Source organism: Homo sapiens, chromosome 3 (genome assembly GCF_000001405.40).
Source record: "Homo sapiens chromosome 3, GRCh38.p14 Primary Assembly".
Lineage (NCBI taxonomy): Eukaryota > Metazoa > Chordata > Mammalia > Primates > Hominidae > Homo > Homo sapiens.
Genome location: NC_000003.12, coordinates 115,631,096 through 115,647,581, shown reverse-complemented (window position 1 = coordinate 115,647,581; position 16,486 = coordinate 115,631,096). Strand labels below are relative to the sequence as shown.

The following is a 16,486-nucleotide window of genomic DNA, read 5'->3' as shown; positions in this document are numbered from 1 at the left end:
TACTCTCCCTTCATACTGGGCACTCTCCTAGTTTTTTCCCTTTTTAAAGCTTTCAGTTTCCCTTGCCTCCTCCTGTGAGTCCTGAGCTCTTATAGTACTTGTATATTTTAATTACAAACTGCCTTGTTTTGTTATTTTTGTGAGGGTTATTCCTTAATTTGTACATATTTCTTAAATATCAACCTTCTTTCTTCTCTGTTTTAGTTCCCACTGCTATTAGAAAACAAAATAAACATAAACTGGTTAACTGTAGTTAACAAGAGAAATTTATTTCTCACCATTCCAGAGGATGGGAAGTCCAAGATCAAAGTGCTGGCAGATTTGGTGTCTAGTGAGGGCCTGCCTTCTGTATAATAGACCGAGCCTTCTCATGTTCTCACATGGCAGAAGGGTCAAGCAAGGAAGCTCTATGGGGTCTCTTTAAAAGGGCACTAATCCCATTCATAAGGGCTTCACTCTCATGACCTAATCACCTTCCAAAGGCCCCACCTCCTAATACTATCTCAGTGATAGTAATCCCAGATGTAATCCTCAGATGAGGATTTCAACAGAGGAAATGTGAGGGGAACTAACATTCAAATCATAGCACCCTCCTTGTTGGTGGGGTTTTGTATCCCTCTGCCCCCATCACAATGTCCCATACTACCTCTAATAGACTTTGGTTCATTGTAGGGGTTCAGGAAATACATGTTGGTTGTTTGGTTTCCTGAAAAGAGATACTTAATATATAAAGTGAAGTGAGAAGAGGGTTTCTGACACATCTTTTATATTAAGACTCATTTGCAATATGGTACCAAATCGCAAATGAGTCTTAATAGAGAGGTCTCTTGTGGTTGGGGTCCATTCTAATTATGTCTTCTCCATAAGAAATGACAATCTACTAACTTAGAGCACTGTAAATATTTCTGAGGGTTTATATTTAATTCAAGATATCCGAAGGGCTTTCCCTCTTTTGTCTCAGGTTACTTCTGCTTTCCTCTATTTCTTCAGTATGATTTGAAGTTCTCTCTCTTTTTCTCTTTCATTAGAGCCCTTCTGAACCCCCACCTATCCTGTTAGGCAATATTGCCTATTAGGCAATTATCCCTGAATCCTTGCCATATCAACAAGATGAACCGTGCAAAGTTTAAATGCTATAATCTTGAGGTCTTATTCTTCAGCTACTATCCTTGACCAAAAGGCACTGGTTAATTGAGCCTTTCTGGGATCCAATAAATAGAAAAAAATTTCTAGCACAGTAGTAATTAGTTGTATAAGCAAAGCAAACCTAGGAAATGACAGCTTTGGAAGTTTCCACTGTGCATATAAACAGTTGGCATAGGCAGAGTTGCTTGCAGGAAAAAAAAATCTTTATAGGTCACAAATGTTGGACAGATTGGTGGCCTAGGCCAGACAATCTGTTTATCTAAGGCTGACTTACCCTTGGCACTGAGTTTCTGGATCCTGACAGTGAAAGAATAATAGGAGATTCTTAGATCATGGTTTAAGAATAATCTTGGCAAGAGGCATAATCCAATATGGTTTAGTTATAGGAGTATATTTTAAATTTTAAAACTTAGTCCAACACTTAATTTTTTAAAATTATTACTAAATCAAAGTTCCAATAAGTGACAATTGACCATTATCTTAAACCCAAACTAGAAATCTAAAAAATCCCTAAAATTCCGGAGTTAAGAGTTTTGTGTCTGCATATGTTTGCATGCTACTTTACTTTTTATTTTGTGAGACCTTGAAATGCCTTCCATCTTGCCACAGCCAATGATGAAGAGCCTTAAGAAATATTTTTCTGGGGATATTTCTAAGCATTTTACAAATATAGTTATTTCATTTTAACTCTTAAGATTTATTCCAATGCTTGATTTGTGTATGCAAACAAAACTAAACTGAGTTAAGTTTTCATTCAATAGAAAGAGTGTTCTAAAATATATTAAGGGGTTTGGGGACTTTTAGATCATTTTTGGGTTTTTTTTCCACCAAGATACTAGTATTTACTAGGTTACAAATATGAAATTTTAGTATTTTGCTTCCATCTCTGGATAAGCATAGAGAATGACCAGGTACAATGAAGTTTGACAGAAGCCAAAACAAGAAGATAAGGTGAAAGAGTTCACTAAGTTAACTGTTCAGCACTTCCACTCTGATCCTTCTTTGGTCTCTACATCTGACTTTTTGAATAATGAGGGGTAAAGAAGAGTTGGTTGGGCCTCACTACTTCAAGTGAAGGCTAATTTGCTTTCACTCACTTGAGGAGTATTGTATTAAATGAGTAGCATCAACACAAAAAATATTGGAGATACTGCACCAAAGCCTGAACTCCAACCTAGCAAGGATGTCACGGAAAATAATTAATGAATCCTGTAAAGGGAATAGACATATCTGATTCATATATTTACCCTATATCCTTTAATTTATAGTGGGACTAAATAAAGATTTCCTAATGAATAAATGAATAACTCATAGATAAGATGCCTTCTAAATTTCTTCTAACTCTTGAGATACCATGAAAGCAATAGATGATCTATTGATAAACAAAAATGATATAGGGGCCAACAATACGTACATTTTAAAGTTGTTTCTCCCTGGAGAAAGATAAAAGATTGAATAGCTTCTTTAGGCTCCCTGCCTCAACAAGACTGTTAGATGGATTCAGACATGCTGAAGTTACCTTACATTAGCAGAGCTATGACCTCACTTCTATCCGAAATGAAACCTCTGATGATCCAGCTTTGAGAATGCCAGGGGCATTGGGTTTTGATTTGAGATCAGGTTATAAGCACAGAACCCAGTGTCTGACATTGTGCCACTTGCCATTATACATTTTATCCTTCAATTCCCACAAATCAAATTTTCTTCTGGAATGTTTTCAGAGATTCATTTTTAAAAATTTCTCTATTTATAAATCACTGATGCTGAGAAAAGAAATATGCAGCATTTTAGCTACAACCACAACTATGTGGATTCACAGCATACTCAGTAACCATAAAGGATTTTTCTTTTTGCCTTGAAACTTAAATCTTTTCTAGAAGATCTTGCTATTTTTATCTTGGAATGTTTTTGCCATGTTGACTCTTTGAAGATTAACTGGGAATGGAAATAGGGTGTGGAATGGATGCTCTGTCTTATTCAGTGCTTAGAATGCTTCACGGTGACTGACTTATTGCTACAGGTTTGTTATCCTTTTATCAACCAGTGTTTGAACTCCTCCCACTCTCACCCATTCATCACCCTGATAGTCCTGTCCAAAAACTATCAGGTAAAATACAATAATCACTCAAAGCCACATGGTGCCAGTGGCAAAGCAAGCATTTCCCCTACAGTGCCTGCAATAAATAAATAAATAATACAGTTACACTTGACAATTTAATGAGTATAAATTTACCACAGCAGGACAATCCTCCCCAAATATTTAAACAATTAAAATATAAAAGGAGAAATAAATAGGCATTTTGTAGTGGTGAGCAGGACCAAATTCTTCTTTCATCACTCTTGGGAAATCCGCTGCATCACATACCTTAGACTGACAGCTAGGTTGAAAGAAATATATGGGTTACTGCTGGTTCAGATTAAGGAAAAGCAATCAGGAAGGAAGTGGAGGCAGGTGGAAATGGATGCATTAGCTGTAGCACGTGTTTAGCTTATTATTACTTCTGAATATAATTTAAGTGCATTCATATATTCATTCAATAAATATTTGTTGAGTACCTCATATGTACCAGGCACTGTACTAGGTTCCAGGAAATATAAGTCACCAAAAGAGTAACGGAGCCCTCATGGAGTTTACGTACCACTGGTGCCAGCAGATTGTAATAAGTATCTTGAGTAGATACAAGGGCTGGAGAAAATAAAATGAAAGAGAACAAAAGGGGACAGATAAGGAGTGTTAGGGTGGGGTGCCATTTTACATAGGGTAATGAGAGAACTCCTTGATAAGATGTAAACAGGTGAGTTTGAGTAGAATCCTGAAGAGGTAAGGAAGCTACTCGTGAATATGTTGCAACAAAGTATTTTAGGCAGACAGAACAGTGAGTGCAAATCTCCCAGGCTATTGCAATAATCCAGGTGAAAAATATTAGCAGCTTGCTCCTGATTTCTGACTACAGGGTTACATCAGTAAGATTTTTCAGTGCAAGCAATAGAACCTGAAATGGATTAGGATAATATCAGAGAGCTCACAGTATTAATGGCAAGGCTAGAGAAACAGGCTCAAAAATTAGGCAGCAACCAAGTGAAAGTGGACCCAGGAAACACAGTCAAGGCAAAACCACCAACTGATTAGAGCATGGGTCTGTAGATACCATAGCCACAGACCGTGGATACCACCATCACTGAGGATAATTTGTAATTGCCATTGCATCTTTACGTCATTCCTTGAAGATAAAAAGTGACTGAGTCTAGGTATTGAGATGTCTACATTTCAGCTCCTTGCAAATGATGAGCCTCTCTGGTTTCTAAGTAGAGGCAGCCTGAAATTTTTATTCAACCTTTATTAGCCACATCTGTAAGATAAGGCTAATTACACCTCTGAGTTCCAAGACTGCAAGAAACAATGTATATTAGCATTAAAGAGTGTTGAGAGCATAGGACATGCAAAGCTTAAGTCAGTGGCATTCATAACTCATTTCTCAGTTAATCAATTGTATTTTCATTGAACTTCAGATGTGTATGCATACATTCACACAAACACACACATATACCCCTAAAATCCAGAAACTAGTCCTTTAAGAATCACCACAAAAAGCTATTTAGGTATATGACTCACTTAATGTAGATAAAATATCATTATCAACAACAGCATCAACAATAACAAGTAATAACTAATGTTAAGTGCTTACTATGTGGCAGGCATAGTTATAAATATTAACATTTAATTCTTAAAAATCTTTTGGAGTTGTGGTACTTAAGTCTTTAGATCTATGGATGTTCTGTTATTTACAAAATTTATCCCCCAAACCTCCAAGGCTTGTTGATAGTCACATCTATACAAGAAGAAACATTAGTGTAAGCCTATACTGGGAAATATTCTTGAACAATTAGGAAAATACTACCTGAGATTAAGTAAAATTATTTAAGAGCACATTCTAGAATACAGACTTTTAAATCGACACACATATGTCTACCACACTATACTATGAGCTAATTTAGGGTAAAGAGTGTTTCTTTAAAAAAAAAAAAAAATTCTGTATTTCCAGTACCCAGCATAGTTCTTGGCTCATGGTAGATTATTAATAAATGTTTTTTGAATGAATAAAGGATTGTAATATAATATTAGAGGAGATATTGTGTCTAAAATTGGTCTTGATGATAAAGCCTAATTGAAAAATAAGATGAGTAAGAGTCAAAAGGTGGAAAACAAAAAAATAACTTCTAAGTCTTCATTTGTAAAAGAGCCCTGTTTACTCCTGAATCACATAAATGCTGAGTTAACTTTAGAAAATTTAGGCATATATACATCTAGAAATTGGGAGTATGGTCTTCTTTCACCCCTCTGAAAAGAGTAGCACTGACATGGGAAGAAATTCCATCTTAGCCCTTTCGAGTTGAATGGCCTTGAGCATAAAACCTCCTAACATCTGCACCATGAAGGACTGGCTGTAGATCAGTGTTTCAAAATCTGCTCCCCAGGCTTCAACAGGGGGTTTCAGAGGAGACAGGAGGGAGCGGACTAGACAGATCTCTGGGCCACCAAACTCTGCTTCAGCCGCAAGAACATCTTTTTATCTGTTTTACATTCTTGGATTCTGAGAAATATTTCAATCTGGGTCAAAAAGATGCTGTGGTTAAATAAATACAAGATAAAAGAAAAACAAACTAGATAATTCCTAAGCTCTCTTTAGCTCTACTAGTCAATGATAATTATCACCATCAGGTATAAAGACAAAGAAGGTGACAACTTTTCCTTGGGAGCTTGAATAAAAATTTAGTAGCTTTAACTGTGGACCCAGTATGTGCAAGCATTGCATAGTGCCTTGTGAAATTGAAAACAGAGGAAATCTCAGTAATGAGCCTTTTAGCAGTCTCTAGGGAAACAGGAAAGCACCGTGTGTGTGTGTGTGTGTGTGTGTGTGTGTGTGAATATATATATGTATAATATATGCACAAAACATATAAATGCACTCTTTCTCTCTCTATATATATATATAGTGTCTGTGTGTATATATATGCACACCCCTATGTGTGTATGTATACACACACACACACAAACTCCTATGTGTGTATGTACACACATACACGTGCACGCACACACATAGACAATATGAGAAAAGGGGAATTGCTAAGGAGGTTACTATAGTGAGTGCCATATGGAACCAGATAGGGAATGAGGAAATGTTTAAAATGATTTTATGAAGAAGGTGATTTTTCAACAGAATTTTTGAAGGCAGAATGTGGTTTGGTAGAATGGAGGAAAAAACATTTCAGGGCCAGGTGTGGTAGCTCTCACCTGTAATCCCAGCACTTTGGAAGGCCAAGGCAGGAGGATTGCTTGAGCCCAGGAGCTCGAGACCAGTCTGGGCAACATAGTAAAACCTCATTGAAAAAAAAAAAAGAAAAAAAAAAACAGAATAAAGCAAGAAAGAGAGAAAGAGAAATAGAAGAAAGAAGAAGGAAGGAAGGAAGGGAAGGAGGGAGGGAGGGAGAAAGAAAGAGAAGGAAAAAAAGAAGGAAAGAAAGAAAAAGAAAAAAGAGAAAGAAAGAGAATTTCACGTGGAGAAAATAGTACCAGTTTTATTGTTAGGTGGTAATAAAAGCTCATACATAGGGAGAGTGTCCGGTAAACGTCATTATTTCTTAATCTAATCTCCCATTTTCTTGTGCCAACATAGACCTGACCTCTTGACCCTTCACTGGAATCCAAGGGAAACCCCTTTCTTAGTTCCAGAGAATTTGGAAGAAATTTGGTTTAATCAGAGTAACGGAGACTTGTTGGGTATTCTTGGAATGTCGTATAATTACTGGCAATTTGAATTTACAGTGGACTGACACTGCAGTGTCTCTGGGTGTACATCAATTGAGGAGTCCAGAGCTTTGAGGTAGAAATGGTTTTCCACTCTGTCAACTATAGTTTTGTTGAGAAAACAGCCTAATAGTAAAGCCTGTGAAAACTGGAAGCAAAGGAATGTATGACCAGATAAGTGGAATAGCAAATGAATTATCTTCTAGAAAAGGCTCTAAGTGGTTTTACCCATGACTGGCGGGTCTCTCAAAATTCTACCATATCCCACCAAATCAATGTCTTCAATACTGAATACTTGCCTGTCTTACCTGCTTTCTTGGCAACCCAAACTACTCATGCATCTTCTTCACCTTCGACATAATTAAAAATTTTAAAGTACAATGGAAAAAAAGTGACATATTTTTTCAGCTAAAGTGTACTTCATCTTTCTTTCCTTATGATCATCCATTCTCTAAACAGAAAAATTATATTCTTTTGGTCCTTCCTAAATTTTATTTTTGAGTGAACACTATCCCAACCTACAAGTTAGATGTATTTCCAAAGTTTATTTTCCAAGTTACCAGTTTGAAACTTAGACTAACATTTCCTGAAAAAAATAAATCCAAGAGAGTGTTTAAGTTTCCCATCTAGACCCCAAAGAGGTATATTTAATTTCTATGTTATTTAGCTTCACTTCAGAAAGATCTAGCTACCTAATGTTCATGGACCATTCTTTTCCCTTCTTGATTCTCTTAAATATTCTTGCAAAGGGAACAGATTTAATTGGAGATATTTTTCCCTCACCAGAATTATAAGGGGAAGCCCATTCCTTCCCAGATCCGTCCCCCAGGAATTATATTTTTGTGTGTAGGAGACATAAGTTAGGGTTGAGAAGTCATTGATTTTCTGGCCGTTTGTAGTTTTATTTCCCTTTAGGAAAATCTACTAGCATTTTTCCTTTGTTTATTGGTTTGGGGATAGATAGAATAACATCAGACAGATGGATACTTCCCCCATAATAAAGGGGGACAAGAAAAAATAGCAACAACTAAGCGTTATTGTACATAGTTTTTTAACTAGAGAAGGTAAGAGACAGTGTACATGTAACTATAAATTATATTATTGACAAAGGGGAAGATCTGAAACCTCACCAGGATTCCTGTGGGAGGAGTACCAGAAGATACAAGCTTTAAATGTGAGGAAAGGCTAACTGTTCAGCACCAAGCTTAGGAAGCAGAATAATTGGCTAAAATGATATAGCTGTATATTTTACAGTGAGTACTCATCCTTAGCCCAGATATTAAGAAGTTTATAGTGTCAAGGACGGCTATCTTTCTGACTACACTAAAGTATCTCTCTATAAAATGGTGACCATTATTTGCTGAAGCAACCAGCTGGTATCACTTGGGTGAAATCCAAGTCTGTATGGTCTTAGCTCTGTGTGAAATATCTATTAGCTGCCCAATTATGGACTGTGCCAGAAGTGAACAGTTTCCATGACTGATCATTGTAAGCTGGCCAACCTTTGCCTTAGTCCTAACCAAATTTTGCCATCTCATACTACTCACTGGACACTGGTATTTGTTCATTTTATAGGCTGCACTTATTCAACTCAAATTTAATGAGAAACCATAGTGTGCAAAGCATTCAACTAGATCTATACATGGACATAACTCCTACCTGAAAGGAGCTCCTGGTATAGCAAAAGAGATAGACATATACATGAATACGTATAATAAAGTCTATTGAATGTTGTAATACAGGTATGTACTAGACATAAGGCACAAAACGAAGAATAATTGTATTAGGCTGGAGGATCAGAGAGTCTCCATAAAGAAGAAAATAACTGCAGCCACATATTTCCTGTTTATTATCACGGAAATAAACAGGAAATGTGTCATGTAGAAAAGGAGAGGAAGGAAGACATTACAGACAAAAGGAACAGTGTTTAGAAAGAGAGAAAGGATGAAATAATATGGACCATTCCATGAAATAACACAATTGCAATAGAGTCTGGGATGTGAAGAGGGGTGGGTTTTAAAGCTTGAAGAGATAGGCAGTGACCAGAATATTGAAAAGTAAATACTTTTTAAAAAAAATCAGATTGAGAGCATCCCAAAAAGATAAAAAAAAAAAAAAGTGTGATGTGTTAGAGAGTGACTTGGACACCACTCAGATGGAAAGGCTTCTCAAGTAAAGAGCCAGAGAAAGAGTATTCTGTGCACAGGGAGCAACACATGCAAAGGCCTTGAAGTGTGAACATGTTTTATGTGTTTTAAAAACTAAAAAGAGGCCAACAGACTTGGTGACCAAGAGGCGCATGGTTGTTAAGCAGAAACTAGAAAAGGAGGCAAAGCCTGGATAATGTAGGATTTCTTAGGCCTTGTATTAAGTTTGGTTTTGATTCTACGTGGAATGGGATGCTATCAAAGATTTTTAAATAGGGGAGATACACAATCTTATAGACGCTTTTCAAAATAGCACTCTGGCTGCTGAGGGAAAGATTGTAAAGGGTTGAGGGTAGAAGAAGTTGATTATAGGGGTAGAGTATTGCATTAGTCTCCATGAAAAATGGCTGGGTTAGAGCTGACTGGAGATGGAGTGGATAGAGTCAAGACATATTTCTTTCTTTTGTTTATTTATATTTTTACTATGCCCTCATCTTGCATGAATGACATATTTTTGAGAGGAGGAAAGAAAGGAAGGAATGAAAAGGTTTTTTATTTATTTGGTTTTTACTTATAGAAACCAGAGAAAGAACAGTAGCATCCAATGAAAAAAAGAAGATATAAGGGTTCTGTTTCTGAATTACATGACTGGATAAGAAAGGGGAAGAGATTTGGGAGCAAGACATGGTGACTTACTTTTAAGACCTGTTGAGATTGGGGTTCCTGCGGGTCAGCAAAATATTTCCAGTAGACAGTAAGATATAAAGCTCTAGAGCCAAGGAAGTAGGTTTGGATGGAGAGCCTGGAGAATTTGAGATTCACTAGTCCAAGTGAGACTTATGGGCACAAATTAGATTATTCACAGAACTTGTGTTGAGTAAGAACATGCAAGTATAAGGACAAAACGCTGAATAACACCAACTTTTCAGAGGTTGGTAGAAAAGAGAAGCCAAGCATGGGAAAAAAGTGCAACCAAAGGTGTAGGTGGGAAAAGCCAGCAGTATCAAGTGTTATGAAAGCCAAGAAAATAAAGAGATTCAAGAGGCAAGGTATGTTTCATGATGTCAAATGTCCCAGAGAGGTAATGCAAGATGGTTCCACCTGTCTTTCTGAGAAATTATTTGGCTTGTACATTCCCTTAGAGTCTAATACAGAGCTTATCACAGAGTAGATACAATATGTGTTTCTTGAGTCATGCACTGTACTGGATATCTTACCCTTAAAGAGTTTGCAAACTACTTGGCAGAATCAGGTACATAAAAACGCAAATGGATGGTTAAGGCTCTGCTTGATGAATGCCAAAGCAAAGGACAGGTAGTATGTGCTGCAAAAGATCTAAGAGGCAAAACAGGTCATGGAGAACTGTGTTAGTCAGGAAAGCCCTCACAAATGAGATAAGTCTTGATTCAGGGCCCGGAGTTTAGGCAAGATTGAGCTAGGCCCAAAAGGGGACTTTTCAAGTAGTGGCGGTAACAATGAACAAAATTATAGGAAAATTAATACTTAAATTTATACTAAGTCTGGGTGGGACAGAATATCCAAGTAAAAGAGGCATTTTGCTATAGAACATGTTTGTTAAAAGTTGGAAAGCCTTAGAGATGATTTCATTCAATACTTTCGTTTTACGTAAAAGGAAATGACAACTGAGAGAGACTAAATTTATTTAAATTCACAAGCCTAGTCAATGCCAGAGCCACTAGGAGATAAGACAAGAATAGGAAATTGGTAATAGATCCTAAGGAGCCTTGAAACACAACCATAAGTAAATAAATTAGAATTAACCTTGTAAACAAAGAGAAACCATTGAAATTTGGGGAAAGGGGGGATTAAACGTAAGATTAGCCAGCAGGCAATATGTAGAGAATTTTGGTAACTGTCCAGCCTTTTTTCACCTGGAGTTTCTCATCTGAAACACAGAACATGAAAATGAGTGACTATTTTCTCTTCTTCCAAGGATGGTATATAACTGGTACCCATCTAGATGCACAAGAGAGGGATTAACTCATTACATACATATGGACATTAGGGCCTTAGGGCTTTAAGGGTTGGGTTTGGCTCTCTTCTGGAATGCTGGTTAAGAAAGACTGGCAGAAGATGAAAAGAGCATATGTGAAATACATTACAAAAAGAATTTGGTAACTGATAGTATGACTTTTATAACAGAAGGAGAGTAATCAATTATTTCTGTTATGAGCTGGGAAACTGAGAATGTGCTGGGATCTCTCAAAGATATTGTTAAGAGTAGGGGAGTAGAAAGTCTAATTTGCAAAGAAGATAGTTAGTTCAACATGACACTTTTTGAGGGAACCACAAAGAGTAAAAGGAAAAATAATATTTTTAATATTTGGAGACCTTGAATAATGGAAAGTTAATTTTCCTATTGGTATTCTTATGATTCTCATGGTTTGATTCTTTACAGATGGAGTTTTACTATATATCCAGGTTGAGCAAAAGTAACAATTTTGGTAAGATATGATTAATAAAATAGACTTAAGTATGTACACAAACCAATCAGTTTCCAATGACACGGGAATGATAATGCAGGAGAACGGTAGAAGCTTGCAGGAAAACCATTCATTGCTGAAAGATTTGGTCTAGCATAAGATATGGCAACAACCATGACAGCAAAATTGGCAGTTCTCTTTTTAGCTAAGAATCAATAGTTTCGTTCCACTAAGTGAAGATAAAAACTGAATTGAGTCCTAAGTTTGGTTATGCATATTTAAGCATACTAGTGCTCACACTTATTTTTTTTTTTTTCTTTTCATACCTAGTCCTGCAGAGTACTTCTTGGATTCTTTTCTGAATACTGTTTCTCTTGGGCTTATTGTGTTTTCCAGATGATGTTCAGAAGTGAGGTCTGAGCCATCTGTGGTCATTAACGATCCCATGACAGTTTTTACTAGAAGGTTATGGCCCAATTCCAAACTGAGTAATTTTATTTTATAACTCTAGTCTCCTTCTCCCTTTTCAGTTATAGAAATCCTCATTTCCTCCTCCATACTGGTTTCACTCAAGAGGTGTAAGGTACAAAGTTTAAGATGGAAGAAAGAATGTGTAAGCAAGGAACTCTTGTCCTTAGGTTTTCTATACAGTTCTCCAGTTAATTGTCCAACATTATGGATGCACAAATCTGGTTGAGTTATCAAAAAGCTACCACCTTGTGTCTTTCAACCAAAGGCAATCAAAGCCCTGAGGCACACTGAAGAGGATTATCGTGAAAGACTTTTTCAAATGAATATTTAATACCAACCTGAGTTCTCCAGAGTAACTTTCCCAGGTGATAGAGAAAACAATTTCCTTCTCTTTTATTAGGATAAACAAGTCCTTGAGAGTTAAGGAAATATTGCAGATGTTGCATTTCAGGAAAAAAAAATGACGTTTGAATAGATCAAACTCCCAGTTTGGATTTTACTAAAGAAAGAATTGGTGTTTTTTAAGTAAGACAATATCATTCTCCCTTATGAAGTCTCTTATTCCTTCCCATCTCTCAAATAAAATAATACTTTTTAAAATTGATTTAAAGACCGAAATGCAATGTCCATGCAAAATATAACTCAATGCTTATTCCTTTCCCCACTGGAATGTTAGTAAGAGTCTGGACAACCAAAGTGGGCTACCCTCAGTACAACATGGACAAATAAATCTAACTGCAAGTTAATTATTTAGAAACTGGGGAATTTTTATTATTTATTTATTTATTTATTTATTTTGAGACAGAGTCTCGCTCTGTCACCCAGGCTGGAGTGCAGTGGTGTGATCAGAGCTCACTGCAGCCTATACCTCCTAGGCTGAAGAGATCCTTCCTCATCAGCCTTCAGAGTAGTTGGGACTACAGGTATGTACCACCACACCCAGCTAATTTTTTTATTTTTTGTAGAAACAAGGTCTCACTATGTTTCCCAGGCTGGTCTCGAACTCCTGAGTAATCTTCCAGCCTCAGCCTCCCGAATTTCTGGGATTACAAGCATGAGCCACCATATCCAGTCAATTTTTTTCTTTCTTTCCTTTTTAGGTAAATAATGAGACAATTGCCTCTATTAAAATTTGTGTAGACCTGTAGAATAAATCCCTTGGAAACAGCTGTTATAGGAACTAGTTTGGCCATTAAGAGGAATTTAATTCTCAGCTTATATTCCAAGCAGATAAATTGGTTCCGGAATCAAAGCAAAGTAAGAATAGGAAGAGGATATGCATCCTCACAGGTTCCAGTCAAGCCTAGTTATGCTGACTAAGAAGTTCTGCAGCCACTTAATAAAAGCAACCGATTTCTGAGTTTGCTTAACCTTTGGAGATCATTTTGTTTATTTTTTTTCTTTGCCTCATCTAGCTCTTTTATCTAGTCATTAATGAAAGGATATTAGGGTCTTCCCAACTTTCATTTTAAAATAACATTTTTGAATAGTTATTGGAACTGGAATTATAAATAATGGATGTAAGGCTAATTACCAATATTCTACATTTAGAGCAAATATTTTACAAAGTGCCAATTTGCTAAAAATAGATAAATGTGGTTATTATTGCTGGAATTAATTCAAGAACATTCAAAATGAGATGACTAATGTCAAGGAGTAGCATTTCTGTAATATAAATCCAATTGAGCTGTTTTACACCCATTATTGTCCAATCTTTTTGCAGGAACTAGATCTTACAACCTGAAAAAGAGACGTTAGAGCAAAGCTACACCATTCCAAATTAGCAAGAATATATGGTAGCTAGTATGTCCTCCTAGACAGGTGGCACCTGCCAGAGGTAAGCCTCAGGAGGATGGTGAAAACCCAGTGTCTGTCATCTCCACACTGAAACTGGTACGGAGATTTGCTCTGACCTTTCTTTTTTAGGTGTATAAGCTCATAGGTTCAGTTATCTGTGTGGTTACTACTTCCTTTTAGAGCCATCAGTGATAATAACCCTACCAATAATATGTAATACAGACCAAATTGAAAATAACCAAAAGGAAAAATGAATAGTCCACCACACTTGAGATAAGTTCCTTCTGACTCGGGTAGCTAACCCACATGTGGACTATGTGGACATATAGGTATATATGCAGGAGACTAATTCTCAACCAACTTACCCTCTCACTAGATTTACAAGTGTGGGCTTACCAAAATTGTCTCTAACCTATGTCACCCAGCCCTTTTTCCAGTCAGAGATATCGGCCCTGTGGCAGTTGCTAGGTGACCCAAGCAGGACCAATAAAATTCATTCATCCTCATTCTCTCTCTCTCTGTCTCTCTCCCTCTGTCCCTCTCTCCCTTTGTCTGTCTCTCTCTTATCTCTCTCTTTCTCTCTCATCATTTAAAATTTGAATTGTAGCTGGGATTATTAATAACTGAGTCTTTTTTGATGCAGGGCCCCAGAAAGAGTTTATGAATTCCTGTTATTGAAATTCTACCCTGGTTCCCATAGGCTTCGTTGTTCAACTTACTAATTTCATATGATCGCTGCTTTTTTTCTTTTTCCAATAAATTCCTTTTATAGACTCTTAAAGTTGGTTTTGGATACTTGTTCCCAATCAAAAAACGCATATATAATAGAAGTAGTGTGTTCTGAGGCAGAAGAAGAAAGAAACAGGGAGAAAGGGATGTAGCTAGAGTGAAAGTTTAAAGGTGATACCATTAACCAAATATAAATATAATTAAAGAAATCATTATTTCCTTCTGGACACCAGTTTATTTTCAAATTTCTAGTTAACACACCTTTCTATTGCAGTCTACATGAGCCCTTTGTATAAAAGTATTTTGGGAAAATATGTACAATACTAATTTTTTTATGCTAAACTTTTGGCTTCTAGGAAAAATAGGATTTCTTAGACTAACTTGATCCAGTTATTATACTTTAAAGTATTTCTAAATGTTATCCATATGTTTAAAAACTCAGTTTCTTTGGTTTGTAGAATTCTGTGCTTATAGGAGAATCTGTTAAATTTTGTTGTTTTAAAGTGGTAATTTATCCCAGTCATGCCCAGGGACACAGAAGAACTATAATGTCCTTTGTGGAGATCTTGAGGGCTCAAAAGATTATGGCATTTAGAGTTGAGTTTGGAAAGGTTTAGGATTACATATCACCTCTCTAATCAAGGTTTATTCCTGTTGTATTGAGGAGCCCTGAAGTCAGGTTGTGGAAATGGTGATCAAGGGATCATCTTTGAAATGTGCTTCCCCCAACCAAACTGTATCTACATTTTCAGTCTCCCAACCAGCCCTGCATTTTCTCTCCACTCTTCTGCCTGACTGGGCCCTCATGTGATGGATGTGAGCACAGCATGCCTGGCCATCTTAGTGCTGAGAACCCAGTTTGGAGGTGAAGTGGGGGTGGGTATAGAGGGGGAGGCAGCAAACTTAGCAAATGGAGAAGAAAAGAGATCTAAATGTGAGGAAAAGACTAAAACAGAAAAAGATAAAAAGAAAAACAGTGGGTATTTCTAATGCATTTGAAGTGATCCTTGGGTCTTGTAACACTTTGAATATTGGCTTATCTAAATTCTGTCACTGAAGTTTTCAAAGGAAATAATAAACAGATACTATGTTCCCATCCATTAGCATGGTTAATATTTACTCTGAGCCGTGCCCGGCTCATGCCTGTAATCCCAACACTTTGAGAGGCCGAGGTGGGTGGATCACTTGAGCTCAGCAGTTCAAGACCAGCCTGGGCAACATGGTGAAACCTTGTCTCTACTAAAAATTCAAAAGTGAGCCAGGCGTGGTGGCATGCAACTGTAGTCCCAGCTACTTGAGAGGCTGAGACAGGAGAATTGCTTGAACCTGGGAGGCGGAGGTTGCAGTGAGTCGAGATCACACCACTGCACTCCAGTCTGGATGGCAGCAAGACTCCATCTCAAAAAACAAACAAACAAAAAATTTACTCTGTAGAGTATGGGAATCAGGTGGAAATGGGGAATGTGTGTATTCTATACAGAGAGCAAGAGTACTTCTTGTTTGCTTAGAGCCATGAATACTTTAGTGCTCGATCTATGAAATTCCTTAATTAATAATACTTACATTTCAAAAACACATTGTTTGCAAAACACTTTTATTGTTATCTCTTTATTTGAGACTCACACCAACCTAATTTTAAGAAGAAAAGGTAAGACAGGATTTGGAGGTTCTTTTTATGTACCCACTACACAGATGAATATACTAGGCTCAGAAAGGTTAAATTACTTACCCAACATCACATGACAAGCAATTGGCAGAACCAGGTCTAGAACCCAGGGAAAGGATTTATTCCACTACAAAGACATGAAACAGGACATTAAACAAACAACATCTAAGAAAATAAGATCTGTAAATAATTAAGGATAGGAAATCTGGAAGATCACATTCCCGTGCTAAACCTGAATGAAATGACTGCAAGTGTGTCTCTCTGATCTAAGCAGACAGGA

The 16,486-nt window shown here is 36.9% G+C and overlaps 1 protein-coding gene across 2 annotated transcripts in view; it reads right to left on the bottom strand.

Moving 5' to 3' along the window:
* The window catches only part of GAP43 (growth associated protein 43), a 97,974-nt gene that overhangs the window by 73,902 nt on the left and 7,586 nt on the right, over positions 1-16,486 (bottom strand). The gene's annotated exons all lie outside the window — the stretch shown is intronic.